Source organism: Homo sapiens, chromosome 7 (genome assembly GCF_000001405.40).
Source record: "Homo sapiens chromosome 7, GRCh38.p14 Primary Assembly".
Lineage (NCBI taxonomy): Eukaryota > Metazoa > Chordata > Mammalia > Primates > Hominidae > Homo > Homo sapiens.
In genome coordinates this window covers 118,528,936-118,552,483 of record NC_000007.14, presented here as the reverse complement: position 1 = coordinate 118,552,483, position 23,548 = coordinate 118,528,936, and the positions used below count along the sequence as shown (strand labels likewise).

The 23,548-nt window shown below is 33.7% G+C and overlaps 1 long non-coding RNA gene across 1 annotated transcript in view; it reads right to left on the bottom strand.

The window, feature by feature from the left end:
- Positions 1 to 23,548, bottom strand: part of LOC105375473 (uncharacterized) — a 66,227-nt gene that overhangs the window by 16,723 nt on the left and 25,956 nt on the right. The window contains exons 6-9 of the long non-coding RNA XR_927909.2: positions 21,356 to 21,455; positions 20,085 to 20,305; positions 19,303 to 19,388; positions 6,798 to 6,881 (exon numbers count right to left, since the gene is read on the bottom strand). This is a non-coding gene — a long non-coding RNA (uncharacterized LOC105375473). The remainder of the gene's footprint in view (positions 1 to 6,797; positions 6,882 to 19,302; positions 19,389 to 20,084; positions 20,306 to 21,355; positions 21,456 to 23,548) is intronic.

Sequence of the window (23,548 nt, the reverse complement as noted above, 5' to 3'; positions counted from 1 at the left end):
TGGGATCTAATTAAACTAAAGAGCTTCTGCACAGCAAAAGAAACTACCATCACAGTGAACAGGCAACCTACAAAATGGGAGAAAATTTTCGCAACCTACTCATCTGACAAAGGGCTAATATCCAGAATCTACAATGAACTCAAACAAATTTACAAGAAAAAAACAAACAACCCCATCAAAAAGTGGGTGAAGGACATGAACAGACACTTCTCAAAAGAAGACATTTATGCAGCCAAAAGACACATGAAAAAATGCTCATCATCACTGGCCATCAGAGAAATGCAAATCAAAACCACAATGAGATACCATCTCACACCAGTTAGAATGGCAATCATTAAAAAGTCAGGAAACAACAGGTGCTGGAGAGGATGTGGAGAAATAGGAACACTTTTACACTGTTGGTGGGACTGTAAACTAGTTCAACCATGGTAGAGGTCAGTGTGGCGATTCCTCAGGGATCTAGAACTAGAAATACCATTTGACCCAGCCATCCCATTACTGGGTATATACCCAAAGGACTCTAAATCATGCTGCTATAAAGACACATGCACACGTATGTTTATTGTGGCACTATTCACAATAGCAAAGACTTGGAACCAACCCAAATGTCCAACAATGATAGACTGGATTAAGAAAATGTGGCACATATACACCATGGAATACTATGCAGCCATAAAAAACAATGAGTTCATGTCCTTTGTAGGGACATGGATGAAATTGGAAATCATCATTCTCAGTAAACTATTGTGAGGACAAAAAACCAAACATGGCATGTTCTCGCTCATAGGTGGGAACTGAACAATGAGAACACATGGACACAGGAAGGGGAACATCACACTCTGGGGACTGTTGTGGGGTGGGGGGAGTGGGGAGGGATAGCATTAGGAGATATACCTAATGTTAAATGACGAGTTAATGGGTGCAGCGCACCAGCATGGCACATGTATACATATGTAACTAAGCTGCACATTGTGCACATGTACCCTAAAACTTAAAGTATAATAATAATAAAGAAAAAAATTATGTTAAATAAAATCTTATTTTTTCAAAAAAAAAAGAAAATAATTTTAGAGCATTACTTGAGTAGTGTTTGTCTCTCCTCAATAAAATCTTTATACTTACACAATTTTATTTATTTTGTATCTTGCTTTTGGTCATTTAAAATGCTGATGACATTTTAGCTGATTCAATGGTGTAGAAGCCCCATTGCTACCATCTGACATATTTCAGTCTGCGACATAAAATCTGGACATTAAAATCTTTTCTGGTGCTACCTTAAAGGCCCAGATACTTTCACTTACATACTTGTAAGAAGATCCTATAGCACTATGGACACTCACTTTATGTTAAATCCTGCTTTCTCTTTATGTACAGTTCATTTTATTTTCTTACATCAAAGTCTAACTGGAATGGTTTTGCCCAGTTATAGTCCAGAAATGAACATAAGCTGCTATTCCATCTATGAGTGCCTCCAATGTGGAGAGGGTCATTTGAATTTGGGATGACTTATTTTGCCAGGTTCAATTAAGTATCAGCATATTGGAGAAAGAGCCCAAATAGATTTAGGTGACCAGCTTCTTACTGCATCATTCAAGTACAGAAAATATTCAACATTATCAATGCCAGTAGAGGGATACACATTTCTGCTTTTATTTTTAGTGTCTTTGCTACTGAAATGTCTTGAGTAAAGGTTGCACATTTCACACAATGGCTCATTTCACACCTTCAGCAAACAGAAAAGCATATTTGAAATAATGTAGTCAGTTTAGGATAATTTCTTGGTGAGAATCCCTTGTCTTTGCCCCAGTCATCTGTTTTCACACAAAAATTTAAAGTTTCATCATTTCATAATACTAGCATCAATAAATGTTAATAGACTTTGACTTGTTCTGGTAACATAGCAGCTGACAGATGCTTTTCTGAAGACAATAAAAAAGTATTTATTCAAGCAGGTGATGAATGATATATATGGCATTTCTTAAACTTGTGCTTCTCTAGAACAGTGAAGCGCATTGGTTTGCAGATGTTTATTGTGGCCTTCGAGAGATTGCTAATAAATGTTTTAATAGATCACTCTCATTTCAAGTTCTCTAGATCTAACAACAGACTCTTATTCTTCCTTCCTTCATCTCATTTTTGTAGTTATTTATTTTTCTTGCCCCTAGAAAAATAAATAATCTAGTTTATGTCTTAGTAGAAGCATCACACCAATGTGACAATAATTTTGTTAATGATTTATAAACATATACCACAATAAGTCTTTGTAGCCATTGTCAAAATGTTCTATTCTAAAGGGAATATAAGAGAGATAAAAAAGTATAAAATCCATGCCCAATAATGTCATGCCTTGATGAAAATATGTTCAGAATAGTAAAATAATGGCAATCTGCTTTCTGGAATTGGATTTGTCTTTAACGATGCAGGATACAGGGATCCTTGGTTGTCTAATTTGTAATGCTAAGCCATGAGCGGTGTTGACATTAAAATTCGAAATAGCTCTGTTATCAATGACAACTTACAGCAGCAACACTGATATGGATATTTAGCTGATTATTAAAACATGTATTTTGCCAGAGGGTAGGATTTTCATTCCTGATGTTTGATTTTAGTAATAGCGGTAATCTTACAGTTCTCCCTTTGGGTATAGTAAAATTCTTCCAAGTGAAAGAGAATCAATCATACATTTCACATAAACTGGGAACATTTTAACCACCGTGGAGAGAAGCACTACTTGACACTGAAATTTCTCATCTCCACACCTTACTTCAACTGACTTGTGTTTGTTTGTTTGTTTTGTTTTTACTTTTTCACTCATGTTAATGTTAGTATACATTATGGTTATTTTCTTGTTTTAGAGGCAGCTCTTATCCTAGCATCCTAGCCAGGGGGGAATTTATTCTCTGAATGCCAAAAAAAGAATGATGAACTATGCCCACATCCATTTCCTTTAAAGTGGAATTACTTCTTTACATTGCAGAAGGGGTTATAAACAAATTGACCCCTTGCTGTAATTGTCAAAATATCAACACACACACACAGTCTCATAATGCATGTACTAGCTTTGTTAACTGACACTTACAGAGGATAGAGCATTCATTCATTCATTCATGCACTCATCACTTCAACATTCATTATACATTTCTAGTGCATGCAAATGATTATTTTGGGTACTTAACTGAGTTGAATAATGATCTTATAATAAATGAAGTTTCCACTTTTTGGTTCATGTGAGGAGGTCATATATAAATAAATATCCTATATATACCATGTATAGATGAATACACTTTTTCTTTAACCAAATAATACATATTCTACGGAAGGATATTATAAATAAATAGTCTCTCACAAACAGACTATAAAATTCTTCCAAATCTAATTCCATAATAAGCAACAGTGGTATGCAAATGAATGTATAGAATACAGATGTCCAATTTAAATTAGATAATGTTTGAATGGGGGTGTCAGTGCTATAGCTAAAAATAAGAGGTAGAAGAAAGTTGTCATGCTTAAGGATGTGGTAATGAACTTCTGCCTGGGCTGAAACTAAGGTCTCTATTTATTGGCTGTGACCTTGGAAATGACAATACTTCTGGGCCTCCATTTGTTAATATATATAATGGAGATCATTATAATAACTAGCTCCCTAGGTTTATGTAAAAGTTCGAGGAGATCATGCATGTAAATCCCTTAGTATCCTGCCTGGCCTAGAGAGTAAACCCTCAGTAAATATTAGCTATTGTTGTTGTTACAGGCTCACACATGTAAAAATTTATTGGCTTGGAAACCTCAAAATTATTTTTTAGTTTAATTAATTATTAATACACAAACATGCAATTGTGGCATGTTAAACGAATCAGAAAATATAACTTTCATGGAGGCAGTGCCAAATAGATATGTGTCACAAAATGGCAAGTAGCCAGTTAAATTAGACCTAATTTTTTTTAATGACATGATGTTGTAGTTACTGATTTCAACATAAGTTACTAACAATGAGGATTTATTTCTTTGCTTTCCATGTATGCTAATTATACCTCCATTATAAAATATTCTAAATAGAATGGTTAAAGATAAGTAATTCCAGGAGATATTCTATCTTGAAATGGCATTTTAATTAAATTTGTTCAGACTTTTTAGGAGCTATTACAGTACATAGGCTCCATGAAAAACTGTATGATTGAACAGCAGGAGGTGAGAATGTGTTTCCAACAATTGGGAGATGAACTATACCAATGAAATTACATAGATTCTTTAAGTTTCAATTCAAATATTATCTTCATCCTGATGTTTTCTCTATCTTTTTAACTTCTCTTAAGAATTTTCTATTCTTTCATCTCCACTATCTTAACATATTGTACATTCTCCCTTCTTTGCTTTTTCAATACACATAGCTTTTTATTATATATCTCTCTTCCTAGCCTCAAGAGCAGACGTCAGTCAAGTCTTAATGGGCTTGTAGCTCCAGTTATTGATTATTTGTATGTATTTTAAATATGTGGTTTTTATTTTTTATTGCTACGTAATGGCTATGCACATTGGCTACATGTGATATTTTGATACATGCATACAGTGTGTAATGGTCAACTCAGGGTAATTGGGATCTACATCACCTCAAACATTTATTATTTCTTCTTCTATTATTTCAAGGCTACAGTAAGCAAAACAGCACGGTACTGGTACAAAAACAGACACACAGAACAAGAGAACAGAATAGAGAACCCAGAAATCAAGCCACACATCTACATCTACAATGATCTGATCCTTAACAAAGTCAACAAAAATAAGCAATGGAGGAAGGACTCTCTACTCATTAAACAACTTTGAGATAACTGGCTATCTATATGCAGAAGAATTAAACTGGACCCCTACCAATCACTATAAACAAAAATTAACACAAGATGGATTAAAGTCTTAAATGTAAGACCTAAAACTATAAAAAATCCTTGAAGAAAACCTAGTAAATATCCTTCTAGACACTGACTGGCTTTGGAAAGGAATTTATAACTAAGTCCTCAAAAGTAATTGCTACAAAAACAAGAATTAACAAGTGGGATCCAATGAAACTAAAGAGCTTCTGTATAGCAAAAGAAACTATCAACAGAGTAAACATCACCCTACAGAATGGAAGAAAATATTTCCAAACCATGCATTCGACAAAGTCATAATATTCACAATCTCCAATGAGCTTTAACAATTCAACAAGAAAAAAACAAATAATCCCATTAAAAAGTGGACAAAGGACATGAACAGAGATTTCTCAAAAGACAGACAAGCGACCAACAAACATAAAAAGTTATGAATTTTGAATACAGTGTAGAATTATTAAGTTAAGCTAATTAACATACCCATCACCCCAAATATTTAACATTTTTGTGATGAGAACATTAGAAATATACTTTCTTTGTGATATTGAAATGTAGGGTATTAAGTTATTAGCTATATTCAGCATGCTGTACAATTTATCTCCAAAAAAATTATGCTTATTTCTCCTGAGACTTTGTAGCCTTTGACAATGATGATGGATATTTTTAATTGAAGATTTGATGAGAAATTGATATGCACTAGGATTACTAGAATGATGATAAAATTCAGCTTAATTTCTTCTTTATTAAAAACAAAATTTGAAGTCTTAAGAGATTTAAAAGTTTCAAATTTAAAAAAGTCTTCTGATATATTAAGAAATCTTGTAAGCTGGGCTACTTACTATATTCATGAGGTTTATTTATACAGTATTATAACATGGAGCTAAATGGTTGTAAATGTGCTATATGAATTTCTATTCAGATGTGGTTATTCCTATGACAGATAAACATGCTTCTGCTACTTGATAGGGCAATGGTAAAAGTACAATAAATATGCACATTGGGATTTCCAAAGATATATTTTTCTCCACAGCAGATTTAGTACGCTTTCAAATAAAGTTTTAACAGTGCTTCGTGGAATGTTAAAATTAATGCAGAGTGCCTGCTCTTACTGCTAATATAAGCCAGAAACGTAATCATATACCAAGCCATTGGTAGTTCCCAAACTTGCCTACCATTAGCTGGAATGCTTCAATAAAAATAAATGTGAAACATGTGAATGTCTCTGTCTCATCCCCAGAGATTATGACCTAATTGATTTGGGGTGGAGATTATTATTTCACTGGTCTATGGGGGTAGGGAGTGGAGCTGAGTTTTGAAATTTTTTAAAATTCTCAAAGAGATGTTAATGTGCAAAGCAGTTTGAGAACTTCTGCACTAAACAATTATTCTTGTTTTAAAATGTTTGCCCTCGTCTTCAGCAAGAACAATTTCCCAGTCATTAGTAAAACTCCTAATTCTGTAATGAAACAAAACCAAATCTCTATTCCTGTCTGTAAATAGGATTACCAAGTCAATTCCAGAAAGCTTTACAGTAAGGTTAATGTGTAAATGTGCTAAATTAAAGATTCCCTAAAGGGAACTTTATATTTGTGATCATACAAACATTGATTTAGTATTATGTCCAATAAATAATTTTAGCAAATTTTGTAGAAAATGAAATCCTATCCAAATTCTGTAGAACTATTTATTTTTGATCTGGCTATCTAAGAATGGAAAACTATATACAGAAGTATCTTCAGAAAGGCAATCTTTAATTACATACATATTTCATTTATTTATTCATTTACCCATTCATTTATTCATGTATTAGCTTTTTATTGTAGAATTTTTTTGTTTAATTTTTTTTCTTTGTAATTCTTATGGGCACATAGTGGGTGTATATAATTATGGGGAACATAAAATATTTTATATAGGCATGTAATGTGTAATACTCACCCGAGGGTAGCAGGGGATACGTCACCTCAAGCATTCATGATCCCTTTGTGTTGTGAATGTTCTAATTGTACTCCCTGAGTAATTCTAAAATGTAACAAAATTATTGTTGTAATCACCCTGTTGTGCTATCAAATAGTAAATCTTATTCATTGTATATAACTGTATTTCTGTACCCATTAACCATTCCTATTCCCCCCACCTCACTACACTTCCCAGCCTCTGGTAACTACCATTCTACTCTCTAACTCCATGAGTCTCCATGAGATCAATTGTTTTAATTTTTAGCTCCCACAAATGAGTAACAACATGCAAAGTTTATCTTTCTGTGTCTGGCTTATTTCACTTAACATAATCTCCTCCAGTTATATTCATATGGTTGCGTATGACAGACTCTCATTCATTCTTCTTTATTGCTGAAAAGTATACCATTGTGTATAGATACTACATTTTTTTTTTTATTTGAGACAGAGTCTCACTCTGTCGCCCAGGCTGGAGCCAGCTGGAGTGCAGTGGCACAATTTCAACTCAATGCAAATTACTCCTCTGGGTTCAAAAGATTCTCCTGCCTCAGCCTCCCGAGTAGCTGGGATTACAGGTGAGCACCACCACAACTGGCTAATTTTTGTAATTTTAGTAGACACAGGGTTTCACCATGTTGGCCAGGCTGGTCTTGAACTCCTGTCCTCAAATGCTCCGCCCAACTCAGCCTCCCAAAGTGCTGGGATTACAGGCATGAGCCACCACCCCTGACCACGTATTCTTTATTCATTTTTTTTGCTGAAGGACACTTAGGTTGCCCTCAAATCTTGGCTATTGTGAACAGTGGTGTGGTAAATATGAGAGGGCAGGTATCTCTTCAATATAGTGTTTTTCTTTCTTTTGGGTATATACCTAGCAGTAGAATTGTCAGATCATGTGGCAGTTTAGTTTTTGGTTTTTTAGGAATCTCTGTATGTTTCTCTAATTTACGTTCCCATCAACAGAGTAGGATTGCCTTTCCTCCACATCCTTGTCAGTATTCATTATAGTCTTTCGGATAAAAGCCATGTTAATTGGGGTGAGATGATATCGCATTATAGCTTTGATTTGCATTTCTCTGATGATCACTAATGTAGAGCACCGTTTCATATTCCTGTTTGCCATTTGTGTGTCTTCTTTTGAGAAATGTCTATTTAGATCTTTTGCCCAATTTTTAATTGGATTATTCAATTTATTTCCTATAGAGTTGTATGAGTTCCTTATATAACCTGGTTATTAATTCCTTATTAGATGGGTAATTTGCAAATATTTTCCACCATTTTGTGAGTTGGCTCTTCACTTGGTAGATTGTTTCCTTTGCTGTGCAGAAGTTTTTTAGCTAAATGTGATCTCATTCATTCATTTTAGCTTTGGTTGCCTCTGCTTTTGGGATATTGCCCAAGAAATCTTTACCCTGACCAATGTCCTGGAGATTTTCCCCTACGTGATCCCTTAGTAGTTTCATATTTTCATGTCTTAGATATAAGTCTTTAATCCATTTTGATTTGCTTTTTGAATACGGTGAGACACATGGACTTAGTTTCATTCTTCTGCAGATGGATATTCAGTTTTCCCCGCACCATTAATTGAGAGATTGTCTATTCTCCAATGTATGTTCTTGGCACTTTTGTCAAAAATGAGTTCACTGTAGATGTGTAGGTTTTCTTCTGGGTTTCCTATTCTGTTAAACTAGTCTATGTGTCTGTTTTTCATACTAGTATTATGTTGTTTTGGTTATTATAACTCTGTAGTATAATTTGAAGTCAAGTAATGTGATCCCTCTTGTTTTGTTATTTTTGCTCAGGAAGGCTTTGGCCCTTCAAGGTCTTTTGTGGTTCCATATAAATTTTAGGATTGTTATTTCTATTTCTGTGAAGAATGTCATTGGTATTTTGATAGGAATTGCATTGAATCTATAGATTGCTTTGGGTCCTATGGACACTTCAATATTCATTCTTACAATCTATGAACAAGAAATATCTTTTATTATTTTTTTCTTTATTTATTTTGTTGCATCAATGTCTTATAGTTTTCATCGTAGAGATCTTTCACTTATTTAGTTATGTTTATTCCCAGGTATTTTATTTTGCTGGTAGCTATTGTAAATGGGGTTACTTTCTTGATTTCTTTTGTAGATTGTTTGCTGTTGGCATATACAAATGCTACTAACTTTTGAATGTTGATTTTGTATCCTGAAATTGTACTGAATTTGTTAGTCAGTTCTAAACGTTTTCTTTGTTGAGTCTTTAGGTTTTTCCAACTATAAGATTATACCATCTGCAAACAAGGATAATTTGACTTCTTCCTTTACAATCTGAATGCATTTTATTTCTTTATCTTGTTTAATTGCTTTAGTTAGAACTTCCAGTACTATGTTGAATAAAAGTGGTAAAAGTGGGCATCTTTGTCTTTTTCCAGATCTTAGAGATTTTTCCCATTCAGTGTCATACTGGCTGTGGGTCTGTCACATATGGCTCTTAACTGTGTTGATGTATGTTCCTTTTATACCCAGGTTTTTGAGGGTTTTCATCCTGAAGGAATGTTGAATTTTATCAAATGCTTTTTCAATATCAATTGAAATGATCACATCATTGTTACCCTTTATTCTGTTGATGTGATGTATCATGTTGATTGATTTGCAAATGCTGAACCATCTTTGCATCCTTGAGATGAATCCCTCTTGGTCATGATAAACAATCTTTATAACACATTACTGAATTCAGTTTGTTACTATTTTGTTGAGGATTTTTGGGTCACTGTTCATCAGAGATACAGGCCTGTAGTTTTGTTTTTCTGTTGTGTATTTATCTGGTTTTGGCATCAGGGCGATCCTGACCTGATATGGTGATTTTGGAAGCATTCTCTCCTTTTTTGGGGGAACATTTTGGATAGGATTGGTATTAGCTCTCTTTAAATGTGTGTCAGAATTCATCAGTGAAACCATCAAGTCCTGGGCTTTTCTTCGCTGGGAGACTTTTTATTATGGTTTCATCTTGTTACTTGTTATTATTATTATTTCTTCATGGTTCAATCTTGATAGGTTGCAGGTGTCTAGGAATTTATCCATTTCTTCTAGGTTTTCCAATTTATTGGCATAGAATTGCTCATAGTAGTCTCCAATGATCCTTTGAGTTTCTGCAGTGCCAGTTATAATGTCTATTTTTTCATCTCTGCTTTTATTTATTTGAATCTACTTCCTTTTTTCTTAGTTTTGCTAAAGGTTTGTTGACTTTGTTTATCTTTTCAAAACACTATCATTTGACTTTTTGTATTTTTAGTAGTTATTTCTGCTATGATGTTTATTATTTTTTCTTCTACTAATTTGGATTTGGTTTGCTCTTGCTTTTCTAGTTCTTTAAGATACATTGTTAGGTTGTTAATTTGAAGTTTTCTACTTTTTGGATGTAGTCACTTATTGCAATGAACTCTCCTCTTACTACTGTTTTTGTTGTACCTTATAGGGTTTTTGTATCTTTTATTTCCATTTTCATTTGTTTCAATAAATTTTTAAACTTCCTTCTTAATTTCTTCATTGACCCACTGGTCATTCAGTGCATTTTCTTTAATTTCCACGTGTTTGTATAGTTTCCAAAGTTCTTCTTATTATTGATTTCTAGTTTTATTCCATTGTTATCTGACAAGGTACTTGATATGATTTCAATTTTTTTTAATTTTAGGACTTGTTTTGTCATCTAACATATGGTCTATCTTTAAGAGTGATCCATGTGCTGTGGAGCATGTGTTAGTTTATTATATTCTTAAATCTTTGATCAGTAGCTAATATGGGGCAGGCCCTATATTAAATTCTATGTGGGAAAAAAGAGATAAAAATATTATTTTTAAAAAAAATTTAGAATTTTTATTATCCTTTGGCATAGTTACAGTAAATAATCCAAGAGAATAAGAGATGAGCAGAAAATGTATATATAATGTTAAGAAGCACACAAATTACAGTAGAATTTTTACAAAAAGAAAATTTCTAATTTATACTAAATCTATAATTGAGGATGTGGTGGAGTGGTTAGCACATTTTTTAATAGTCCATATTCAACTATGTGGAATAGTGTATATTCAAGTATTCAAGTATGTGGAAAAATTCTTGCAATCTGGGAATAACAACAGCTTTCAATTCAGACCAAATATTATATATCAGGCTCTGTGATAAATTATTCACTTTTAATCTCATACTAATCTTCACAACAACCTTATTATGTAGGTTTTACTAGCTTCCTTTTATATGTTAGAAAATTGAGGAAAAGAGAAAATCAGTATGTTACTCAATGTCATACACCTATTAAATAGCTAAGCTCAGTTTGGAAGACCCTAAGTATATACTTGTAACTATTATTCTGTATTTTTAATAAAGAATAGGATAATATATAATTATAGGGATAGTGGAATCAACATTTAATTTTAAAGGATAAATAATTTATTATGAGAATACACAGTAATTTCTATTGTCATTTTTTTCTCTCTCTTCTTTTTATATTTTATTTAATGAATATGGGTTAAATTTATAATAAGAAAATCAAAATAAACATAAATGTGAAGAGTATCTGTGCTAGCAGGAATTTCCCATCAATATGAGCAGCAATGACTACCCCCATCTTTTTGGGCCTTGCTCAGCCTGGGGTTGGCTGTCAGGAAGGGCACGTTCTCTACTCTTTTCCTTAGGCCTCATCTCCGTTGATCAGCAGTTGATGTGTTCCTAGCCATGTTAAAACCTCAAGAGGAAGGCAAAATAAGAGGATAAGTCAGGTCCTATGCGGCTGGCTGGTTTCACACTCTTGGTGCTTGAATATATTTAAAGTAGCTTTCCCGGATGGCCACACTAGGTGGGAGAAGCTAACTTTCTCTATCAGTAAAATGTTACTGTGGGCCTTCTCTGAAGAACTTTCTTCAGGTGGGAAGAAAGCACCTCTGATTTGGGTGCCTCTCAGAGCTCCTTCTGTAGCCATTGGGCATCAAGATACTTTCAAGCCTTTCTTCTGAGGTCTTCCCTCATCCTCTCCAACATGACCCTAAAGGATAAAACATACCCTACATGGATTTCTCTCTCTCAGTCACATCTGGTCAACAGGAAATATTCACCCATTCCTTGTTCTGACAGACTTTAGGCAAGCAGGATAATTTGAATGGCAAGGAGAAGGTGTAAACTAAGAAGAAAAAAATAATAACTCCCCCTCACGTAGAAAGACATATTCCTCTACTTTTTTTGTTTCAGAGCACTTTCTTTTAAAAATATGTACTTGCATATTCTTTCCCTGCCCCCTTGAGATAGATATATAAATCTTTTTAAAAGTTAAATTAACCTAATTCCAGCTTTATAACCTAGGAATATCATTCTTTAGGACCTGGGAGGCACCTGTTTAAAATGGAATCAAGGAAAATAGAGCCCTATCCCAGTGGCGGGATAGGAGCCTACTAACTTGGTAGACCATGTAGCACAACATTGCAAAACTGTCTTCTGTCACACATACGAGAAGTTTTTTTTTGTTTTTGTTTTTGTTTTTATAAAGCCTATTAGCTACCACAGACGGTCAGCCTAATTACCAAGTGAGTTTGCTATGCAGTCAAGTCCTATTACTTGAAGACTGGTTATTGTTTGTCTTTCAAACACATATGTAATGAATTCTTTCTGCTTGCCTATGTAAAAAGGTAAGATTTTTTCTGTCTCTGCAACCTCCTTCGAGATTTACTGTTTTTAGTGGATTACCTGTGATATGCTTTGTATTCTGGTTTAATGTATATTTTACAATAAAACTATTTTATTTATCTTTTATTGTTTTAGAGAGGGTTTCTGGGTTGAGATTTTTATTATTTATTTAATTTATTTATTTATTTATTGAGATGGAGTCTTGCTCTGTCACCCAGGCTGGAGTGCAGTGGCGAGATCTTGGCTCACTGCAACCTCTGCTTCCAGGGTTTGAGCATTTCTCCTGCCTCAGCCTCCTGAGTAGCTGGGATTACAGGTGCGTGTCACCATTCCCAGCTAACTTTTGTGTTTTTAGTAGAGACAAGGTTTCACCATGTTGGCCAGGCTGGTCTTTAACTTCTGACCTCTAATGATCCTCCTGCCTCAGCCTCCCAAGGTGCTGGAATTACAGGTGTGAGCTACCACGCCTGGCTGAGATTTTGTTTTTAATCACACTTCAACACAGTGCAGCAGCCTTCACTCTCTGGCTCTACCACTGAAACAACTCACTTTTCCTTTACCTCTAGAAGTATTCAGTAGTTCACTGTCTATTGACCTCAATTATGAGTTAGGCACCTAAACAGAATTTTCCGTGGACTACCACCTCCTTTCCTTTCCTAAAAGAAGGAGTGAGAACTGTGTTTAGGGTAACAACTTTCTCTAAAGAAATGTGTTCATCAGTCACTTAATTTTACTGTCTTTGACCTCTTTTTACAACTGTCATCTGACTTATGGATCTACCAAGAAATAGGAATAAATTTCTTGTAACCTTTCTAATTCTGCACATGGAAGTGAGAAGTTCATAGACATTTTGGTGTTCTTAAACTTATAGGGTGGAAAATATTTTCAGAAGTGGAGAAAGAAGCATTCTATTTACACATTCTGCTCCAATTACAGTAAGTGGAATAGTAAAATATACATTATTCTTTGGAAATTAAGGATAAACTTTTTTGTGTGTATGAATTTTAAGCCATGTTCTTTTCACTTGTAACCATATTCTCATTAACAGACTTCCCCCTAAATATACAAAAATGTTGGACTGTGGATTTTTTATACTCATCATTACCTGTGTATCTGTGAAGTAAATTCATTATAAAAACATACTAAATTTAACTTCCAACAGCCAAGATGTGTTAATTATAATTTTTAGTTTAACAATGTGTGTGATTTACTTCAAAATATGTCTGCTATTGACAGTGTGATATCAGATAAAAATTGTTTAAATTACCATTTAAGGAATTGTCCTAATCCAGAATTCATAGTCCAGGGCAGGCAGCTACATTTTCATCTGAAATACAAGCCTCAGCTATCCTTAACATGATTAACAACAGAGGTTTTGCTATTTTGCATGACTATAATTGGTTTTCATTTGTAAAACAATGGCTTATTTGTGAATGATTGTTAGAAAGGGGTGTTCACTAGTGAAATTAATAATACTGGAAATATATTGTCTGGAAAAAAAGATATTTAGAGACACCATTCTAACATGTATTAATAGACTTAAGACTCTAGCCAGTCTTGTACATGTTCTATACACCGAAGCATTGCTCTCCAGGCTTGATTCCAAACAAACCAGTTCAGAGGAGTCCTGATGCCCCATATATGCAACATGAATATTGCAATATTTGTCTTAAGTAACCTTCTAAAATTTTTTTTCAGCGTACTCCCCAAAAAACAGAAGGAGAGGGTTTTTGGAGAGATTGCTTGTAGTCTAGTTTCAGGTTATTAAAAAATATGCATCTATCTGTTTTCTACCTCATGCTGTTAGAGATCAAACGAAAAGAACCTAATAGTTTTGCATCACCAAACTCTTAATATTTTAGACCAATTCAAAACAGCCAGCTGGAGATAGGGCACTGGGGACCATGAGGAGGAGGGTTCCTGAAAGGTTCACAAAGCAGATGATATTTGAGTTGCATATTGAAAACTGAGTAGGCATTTCCCAAGTTGACAGGGAGGTGAAAGGGGAAACATTTCAGCAGGGGACAATTATATAGATTGTCCCAAGATGTGAAAGAGTGCAGATTATTTATTCAACTAAAGTATGGCTGAAACTTTGAGGTGTTAAGCTATAGATACAGGAAAAGCAAGATTATGAGGGGATCTATATAATCTACAGAAGTGTTCTTGAAGCTTTTTCTTAAACACAAGTCATAGTAAAATATTTTATATTACTCAAATTTAAACACATAAAAATTAAAATCTCACAAAAATATTACATCTTACTGGGTAATGGGTACCCAGGTCTTTTCTATTCTATTCCATTTGGTCTATTCCATTTTCTTTTATTTCATAAAAAATGTTGTTTTTAAGTAAATTGATTTTTTGACACATCATTCAGTCACTCCTACAGTATAAATACTTTTCTCTGGAGACAACCCTGTAGAAAGTTGAGAGCTACTGAAAGTTTTTAAACAAGTGTTTGTGATGTTTGCAAAGAACACTGTTCTGGTAATACAGAAAATGGATTAGAGATATAGAATTTAGCTGGAGGAAAAAAGTAGGGAATAATTACACTAGTCCAGACAAGAAATTGTGAGTGCTTGATCTAGACATTAGCTTTGTGGATTGGGACCTGGAAAATCTCAGAGATAAATGGGTAAAATTAGGAGAACTTTCTCACTGAATCTAGGTTATTGTTTGGTGGTAAGGGTGAAGGTGGGATGACATGAAAGATTTGGGACTATGTTATGGACTAATGAATTAAATAAGAGGTGTGTGTGTGTGGTCAGGGAGTAGTCCATAAAATACAGAATAAAATGCAAAATATAGAGGAGAATTTCAATTCAGTTTTCTTTATTTTCTATTAAGAGAATTTACCATATTCTGTTGTTCTCAGTGCAGTTTTGGGATTTTCCATGATTCTCTAATTTTCTTACACAGCATATTTTAGGAAGTATGCTGGCTATTTGTACCTTAGCAATTGTTTGGTTTAATGGATGCCAAACCTAATATTGCCTAAGACAGAATCCCTTTGGGAAAAGAATTCAAAGACATGCTTCACAAATTCCCCAATGGGTCATTTTAGCAATCCTGTGACTGGAACGTTGCTATCACTGCTCTTTTTTACACGTATAAAAGATGAGTGCCTGGGATTTAGTGATTTCTGAAATTCACTCTATTTGGAGGCTTAGCTGGAACTAAAATTTGTTGTTTATCACTTTCCCCCACTGAAGTGTTTTTCTTAAAACCCACATGCATTATTATTCACTAATGACCTTGACTTATACTTTTAAGATGATCTTTCTATTTCACCTTAAAATTTTCCTGTACCTTCACATTTTCAGTCTTCCTTCAAGTCTGTCAGTAAGGTGTGCTCTTCTTTATTGCTAAGACTTTTCTCTGGCTGTTTTCATGGTTCTCACCACCTTTTTTTTCTTCCAAGATCAATGTGCTGTTTCATTTGCTTTCTAGGATCGATATTTTTCAGATGCTCCACAGGCTCTTTAAGGATACTTTCTTTGGAATGTTATATTACCCCCATTTTTTTGTTGTTTAGAAACCACTTTTCTACTTTTAGTTGGCAAGGGCGGAAAACAAAATGATCTTTAGCTCTGGATAAAATACGTGTAAAACAAACCTGACCAGCCTAATTTATATATTTTAAAAGCTCATTCTTCTCAGCAAATTAAACAGCAGTAAAGATACAATTAACAACAATCTAAAATACTAAGGGGCAATACTAAAATACTAATACTAAATATTTAAACAGCAGTAAAGATACAATTAACAACAATCTGAAATACTAAATGCAATCTAAATATTAATACTGGCTCTGTCGTGTACTACCAAATTTATTTACTGAAGCTTATATTTGCTAGAAATCCAGGTTGTGTGTGTGAGAGGGAGGGGGAGCAAAGGATACAAGAGTTATTTCACTCTTTGCAATTCCTACTTATTGAAGTGGTAGATTAAATAAATATTAAATAGAATAAGGGTAGAAGTTGTGAATATTTTTGTGTTGTCAATGTAATTCACTGTGGTGTCTAGTGAATTTTATTTATGAACAAAAATCAGTAAAACTTTCTGTCCTGTCTATCTTAATTTGGAATATTTAGAGGGTGGTGATAATCTGGAAGATAACAGTAAAGTATGAGAATTGAAAAGAAAAAGCCAGGCGCAGTGGCTCATGCCTGTAATCCAAGCACTTTGGGAGGCTGAGGCAGGAGGATCACTTGAGGTCAAAAGTTTGAGACCAGCCTGGCCAACATGGTGAAACCCCATCTCTACTAAAAATATAAATTAGCCAGGCCAGGTGGCAGGTGCCTATAATCCCAGCTACTACGGAGGCTGAGGCAAGAGAATCTTTTGAACCCTGGAGGCAGAGGTTGCAGTCAGTGAGATCACATCACTGCACTCCAGCCTGGGTGATACAGTGCGACTCTGTCTCAAGGAAAAAAGAAAAAAAAAACCCAGAGAGAGAGAGAGAGAAAATTGAAAAATAAAAAAAATGGAATCTATTCAGTTTTGATATCTTAGTTTGGGGAAATTAACTGTGCTGAAGACCATTTATAAAACTACTTGAACCTCTCATTCAAACATTTCTGTCATGATTTTTTGCCAACAGGCATAACCTCAGAAGACAGGTTCTTTCCTAAGGAATATTAAAATTTGTTAGATAGAGTGGAAATAACCTAACTTAATTATATCCCCTATTAGTATAGTATATTTGTTAGATTATAAGTTATATTCTATAACCCTACATCGCGATATGTTGGAAAATTTCAAATTTCTTCATATGTATGTATGCATTGATAAGAACAACATTTTGAAAGAAACAGATATTGGTTGAATCCCGGCTCTGTTATTTACTACCAAATTTATTTTAAAATTTAATTAAAATATATATGGTTATTGTTGGATTTATGGGCTATTCATGCAAAATAATGAGGATGGTGCTAGTCACACATTAATGAGGATGGTACTAGTCACACATTAGATGCCAAATAAATAGTGGTATTTATAAGTGACTATTTTCCCAAACTTGTAGTACATTCCCTTAAGTGTCAAATGCTAACACTTGAAAAATATTTTCTAGAGAATATATCTACAAAGACCTCATGTTTCACTACCATATTTAACTGTGTAACAGAATGGAAATGTTATTTTTAAGTAGTGTCCAAAGATGCAGCATTTCTTAGAGCTGTCTTGGAGACTGTGAGTTAAGAAACAGATGAGCGTTTGCATGAGTAGACATGCTGCAACCCGGAAAAGTTATTATGGCTGCTTATCTATCAGAGTTATTTCTAAAATTTTCTTAGAATATTGCCTTTTATGGCTTTAAAATGTACAAATCCAATTGTAGTGATGCATGCCTGCAGTCCCAGCTTATTCAGGATGCTAAGGCAGGAGAATCACTTGAGGCCATGAGTTCGAGACCAGCCTACACAACATAGAGAGACCCCCCATCTCAAAGAGAAATGCACAAAAATTCAAATAAATATTAATATATCAATTTTCCAAGACTCTTTTTTGGAAACATGTAACTCATACAGAAAAAACTAGAAGAATAGTACAATTAATGCTCATATATCATCACCTAGGTCAATCAATGATTGGTAGATAAAGAGAGAGAGACTTTTTCTTTTTCTGGATCATTATGACAACTTATTCCTAAATATTTCAGTATATACTCCTTAGAACAATGCTATTTTTCTACATAAGCCTGAGACCAACATAACTTTCACACCCAACAAACATAATATTGATAGAAAATTACCATCTATTATGAAGGCCTTATTCAAAGTTTTTCCAATTGTCTCAGTTACAGTCGTTGAAGTTTTACTGAAAACTTCAGTATCCTATCTTGTTATTTAGTTGTCATGTCTCTTTATTATAAACTGAAACCATTTTCTAGCCATTCAATAACTATATATGTGTATGTGCACATATGAAAGTATCTAATAATTCCTATTTCAGCAATCATTTTTATGAACAATTGGCAGGGGATTTTGTTCTCATCCATTCCATTTAAGCAAGATGCATTTTTTCCTTAATGTGGACAGTGAATTCTGATTGCTGTTATTTTCTTTTGAATTTTTCTGAATTTTTTTTTAATTTACAGTCAGATTAATCTATGCATTGGGTGGATTTTTTGGTGCCTTCCTTATCTTATTTAATGATCAACTTTATACTGTTTTCATAGAATTTACTTAAAAGCTTTTCTTCATTTTCTGTAATTTAGAATGTAACATTGGATCTACTTAATCTTTGAAGCTTTGGTAGGATTTTTCTGTGAAACTATTTCGGTGTGCTGAGGTTTTTTGTTATTGTTGATATTTCTTGTTTTCTCATTTTTTGTAAGATAATTATTTGATAGCTTTTCTGTTTTCCTGATTTATATTTTTTATGTTTCTCTAAGAAACTGGTGGAAGCTTTAATCAAATATGATCAATCAAAAGGTCTTTATTCTAACACCACTTGGATTTCAGATTTGCTGATCTCTTTTGGGAGGTCCCAAGTGGCTCATTGATCATTTCTGATTACCATGGACTGTGGTCTTTATCTTCAGTCTTTTATTATTTACTCTTTATTCTTAGGGTAGGTGTTTGTTTTAACCAATTTAAAGCTCTCCTTAATTTAAGTACTCATCATTGCTATTACTAAGGAGAGCAGCTTCCTCCCATAAGTGATAAAAATGTTTATTAGAGAAAATGGCTGCATAATTCCACAATTCTTTGTCTCTCTAAAATAATGAATGTTCTTTTCCTGGCTGTGCTATCTGTGATTGCATTCTCTGCTGGATGCCATAAATCAAAGACTGTTTTAAATTCTTGTTGATGGAAAACTTACTTTTTGGTCAGAGTCTCAGCTGAAAATTGTTTATATCCATTTCATGGCAGCATGACAATCTCTCTCTCCTTTTATAGCTATTAAAACTCAAAACAAAACAAAACAAAAAAAAACATGTTGTTCAATTCAACTATGCCTATTTTAAAGTATTTGACTAATTTATTAAAAACTATCACCATTTTTTTCTTTCAGAGGCTTCCCCATATTCACTTCAAATAAATTTTGTTACTAATTGTGTCTATATTGTTACATTCACTGAAGTGTTTGACCCAATTCACAGTTTGCATTTCTGTGGCCAAGGCTCCCACTCAATTTTCACAACTATCCTATATATAGAAAACTGAAGAGTGAACTTCAGAATATAACATACAAGATTGGTTAATGACCAGATTCATCATTTTGAGAAATAATTCATGTTTATCAACAATTAATTCCATCAATTACATGATTGTGTGATTTCAAACGTTTTTAGTTATTTTTATAAGCTAAAGTCTTGGTACTAGAAGAAATGTCAGAGAAGTGTTTAGAAATGGTTTTATACTTAGGCAATTGCAGAATTTCCCCTAAAGGTAGTGCTAGTTCACTTACTTCTTCCATGTTATGTATTTTGTTCAAAGCATCTAAGACCAACTTGTTATGACAGTACTATTATCTTCAATGCATTACAGGATGAAGAAAGACTTTAGGGCCAATTTTATCCCTATCATATAATATTTTCTCCTCCTCCGTCCCAAATCCCATACACAAATTAGAGTGCTCTAGTGCCACCACCTACCACTTACTATAGTTACCATCTCAGTAGTGAATAGTGATGAAAGACAAAAGCTACTTCCAGGCTGTTGTTTCTTTTTTCTTCTCTCTCTCTCTCTCTCTGTCTCTCTTTACTGCTCAATAGAGAATTTCATGGTGATGCTCTGTCCTGGAGGTGTTAACGAGCAATGTGCAAACAATGTGTATAAGAGAAAACATTGTCTCTCTTTGGTCCTTTCTTCCTAGTCAAGTGCTGGATAACAAACATAAATCGTGAAAAAATAGGGACAAATTTTAGTCATTTTTATATTCTCATTGACAAACGGACAAGATGAAGTCATTCCTTGAAAGAGTAAGATCATTATATCAAATATATTCCTTATAGCTTTTAAGATCCCTCAATGTCACTTAAATTGTTGCAGGAAGTCTGTGGCTTATTGATAACTGGTTTGTTTTTATTTCTATAAGAGAGTATGGCAAATAGTGCATTAAGTGACAGAGCACTTGGACTTTAAGTGCTTCTAGCATCCAGACTGCTGTCCTGAAATTATTGTGCACTTTGGAAATGATTTCTTCTTGTATATAATCTGTTCTTTCTAAATTAAGAGTCAGAAAACTACCAACCTTGGGCCAAATCTAGCCTTCTGCCTGTTGTTATAAATAAAGTTTTATTTGAACACAGTAATGCCCATCTGTTTAGGTACTTCTGGCTGCTTTCCTGTTATAATGGCAAGGCTGAAAAATTGCAACAGATAACACACATAACCTGCAAAGCCTAAAGTATTTACTTTCTATGCTTCTATAGGAAAAGTTTGCCAACCCTTGCAGTAAATTGTTGTACTTTGGTTCCCTTGTAAAGCAGCTTCTCTTGCCCTGTTTCTATTCTCTGTTCTTTTATGATTTAAATACTGCTTGTAGAAAAATAATTACCAAATGAGGGATAGAATAAGAAAGGCTTTCTATATTGCTACTCACTGTTATATATGAAAATGAATAACAGATTCAGTTATCTTTCCTCTATGTCCTCAACTTCAAGGGGGCATTAGTAATAGATTCATGATAGATGGGCAGATTATAGATATAGATATATATATGAGCTATATATATAGATGATTTATCCATATGGATTCCCAATGTGATTTATAATTTTTTTCAATCAACTTTACAAACAAAATCTCATTTCCCAGATCCTGTCAGATTCTTGTTTCTTAATAACTCACTCAAATGTAACAAGTTAGCTCTTAGCCCATTTTTATCTGTTTTATCACCAAACCAACCTCATATTTAATTTATAATATCTTACATAATTGGGGTATTAGCTGTCCATGATACATTGGTCACATGTGGCAATTTTGTCCTCCATCAAGGAATCCAAATTAGATATTTTACAGAAATACAATTGTCTAAATCAGGAAAGAAACGCAGAACAGGAAGATTAACATTGAAGGGGAAATATGAAAGCATATTTGAAAGACTGTGTGTTAGTTTAAATGTGTCTTAGCAGACAGAAAAAGCTACAATCTGATAAGTAAATAGGGGGCTAATTTGCCATTAAGAGATCCAAAGTGGAAAGCCATTAGGGAAACAACTGGGGAAATCTTAATAAAATCTTATTTGTTTTGATAAATACGTTGTGTTATGAGACAGGTTAACATGAAGAGAATAAGTTGGGTGAACTATTTTTGTAATTCTTTTATAAACCTAAAATTATTTCAAGATAAGTTGTTTTAAAAAGACACTTTCATCTCATTAAACAGTTCAGCACCTAGTAGGGAAACACACAGATAGAAATGCAAAGAAAAAAATATCAATAGTAATGAATATCATGCCACAAAAGCTCTGATAATGGTTTCCCCAAGGTACCACGGAAACCCAAGGTAATTATTGATAACCCAAATCATACTATGTGAAATGGAAGCAGCTAGATATCAGGCACGCCTTCTTGGAAAAGATGTTTCCACACTTTATTGGAAAAAATGAGTAAGATATATCAAGGATCTATAGTCTGAATTTGTTCCCTAAAAATCCCCTTGTACCAGTATTGCGAGAAGGGGCCTTTGAGGAGTGTTCAGATCATCAGTGATTTGACCTCATGAATGCTACAGGGCATTAGAAATGTGATTAAGAATGGAAGGGTTTAAATACTATTAACTGAGTAAAACTCAGGATAATTTAGTATCATTTGGATTTGGGGTTGTTGAAATAGGAATATCTAGAATGAACCTAGATGATTACTAGAAAACTAGGTGCCAAAAAGTACCAGTCACCAACATTTAGAAAAAAAGGGATAAGCAGGTTTAGTTGCAGGGAATGACTGCAGAGAATCATTTCCATTTTTACCTGTTATTTTCAACTAGACACAAAATTATTTTAAGAGGCTGGTAAAACTCAGCAGAGTCACCCTACATTAGCTATAAATTTAGAAATCATTTTCCACTTGAAAATATGGAATTAAATATATTTACATAGGGAAAGTTTAAAGTAAAGAGAACAAACAAAAATGAAACTCTGGGCAAACCAACCTTTGAGTAAAGTGAAGGAAGATAACCCTGCAAAGGAAATTAAACAAATCTAACACAAAAAAAGGAGGAGAAACAAAGCAAAAGTTAGTGGTTTCCCAGGAGGTAAAAGAAAAAAGTTTCAAGAGAAAAGGAGAGGCCAAAACTCGCAAATATTCTGGGTATCAAATGATAAAATGATTAAAAATATTTGGGGTTTGTAACTAGCAACTTATTGATAAACTTAAGAAAGCTATTTTAGAAGTCAGAATGAGGTGTATTGATTGGATAAAGAAATACAGAAGAGTTGACCCTATTGACTTTTATATGCAAATGATAAAAATACCATTAAAAGGTTATTTATGATTGTATAAATTGTAAGCACATGTATATAATGATTACAAAGTGCAAGTAGAGAGGCTGGAGAAAGGAGAAAAAGAGAGAATTCATGGTAGAAAAGTCCCCTGAGGATCTTAAATGAAATTGAGTCCTCGCCCCAAGTGCCAATTTTATTGTTGATCAGGAGACAAGATGTCTTTAATATATAAAGACCAATAGAGAAGAGATAATCAAATAAATTTTAATAGAACACTTCCCTGAGCCAAATAAATACTTCAGACTAAAATGACTTAGCTTGTTGGGCACCTTTAATATGAGAGATAAATATCTATTTGAAACAACTTCAGCAATGTGTTTAAATTGAAAAATAAATACAATTTCAGGCCTTGAAAAAGATAAAAGAGGTATACTATTTCCTTCTACTGTATCTGCAATACAGAGAACAAGAAAGGCTAAAAAACATGTACAGTTTGTGAGATAAAAATAACTGTGATCTCATTCATGATTTGGCTCTCTGCTTGTCTATTGTTGGTGTATAAGAATGCTTGTGATTTTTGTATATTGATCTAGTATCCTAAGACTTTGCTGAAGTTGCTTATCAGCCTAAGCAGATTTTGGGCTCAGATGATGGGATTTCCTTGATATACAATCATGTCATC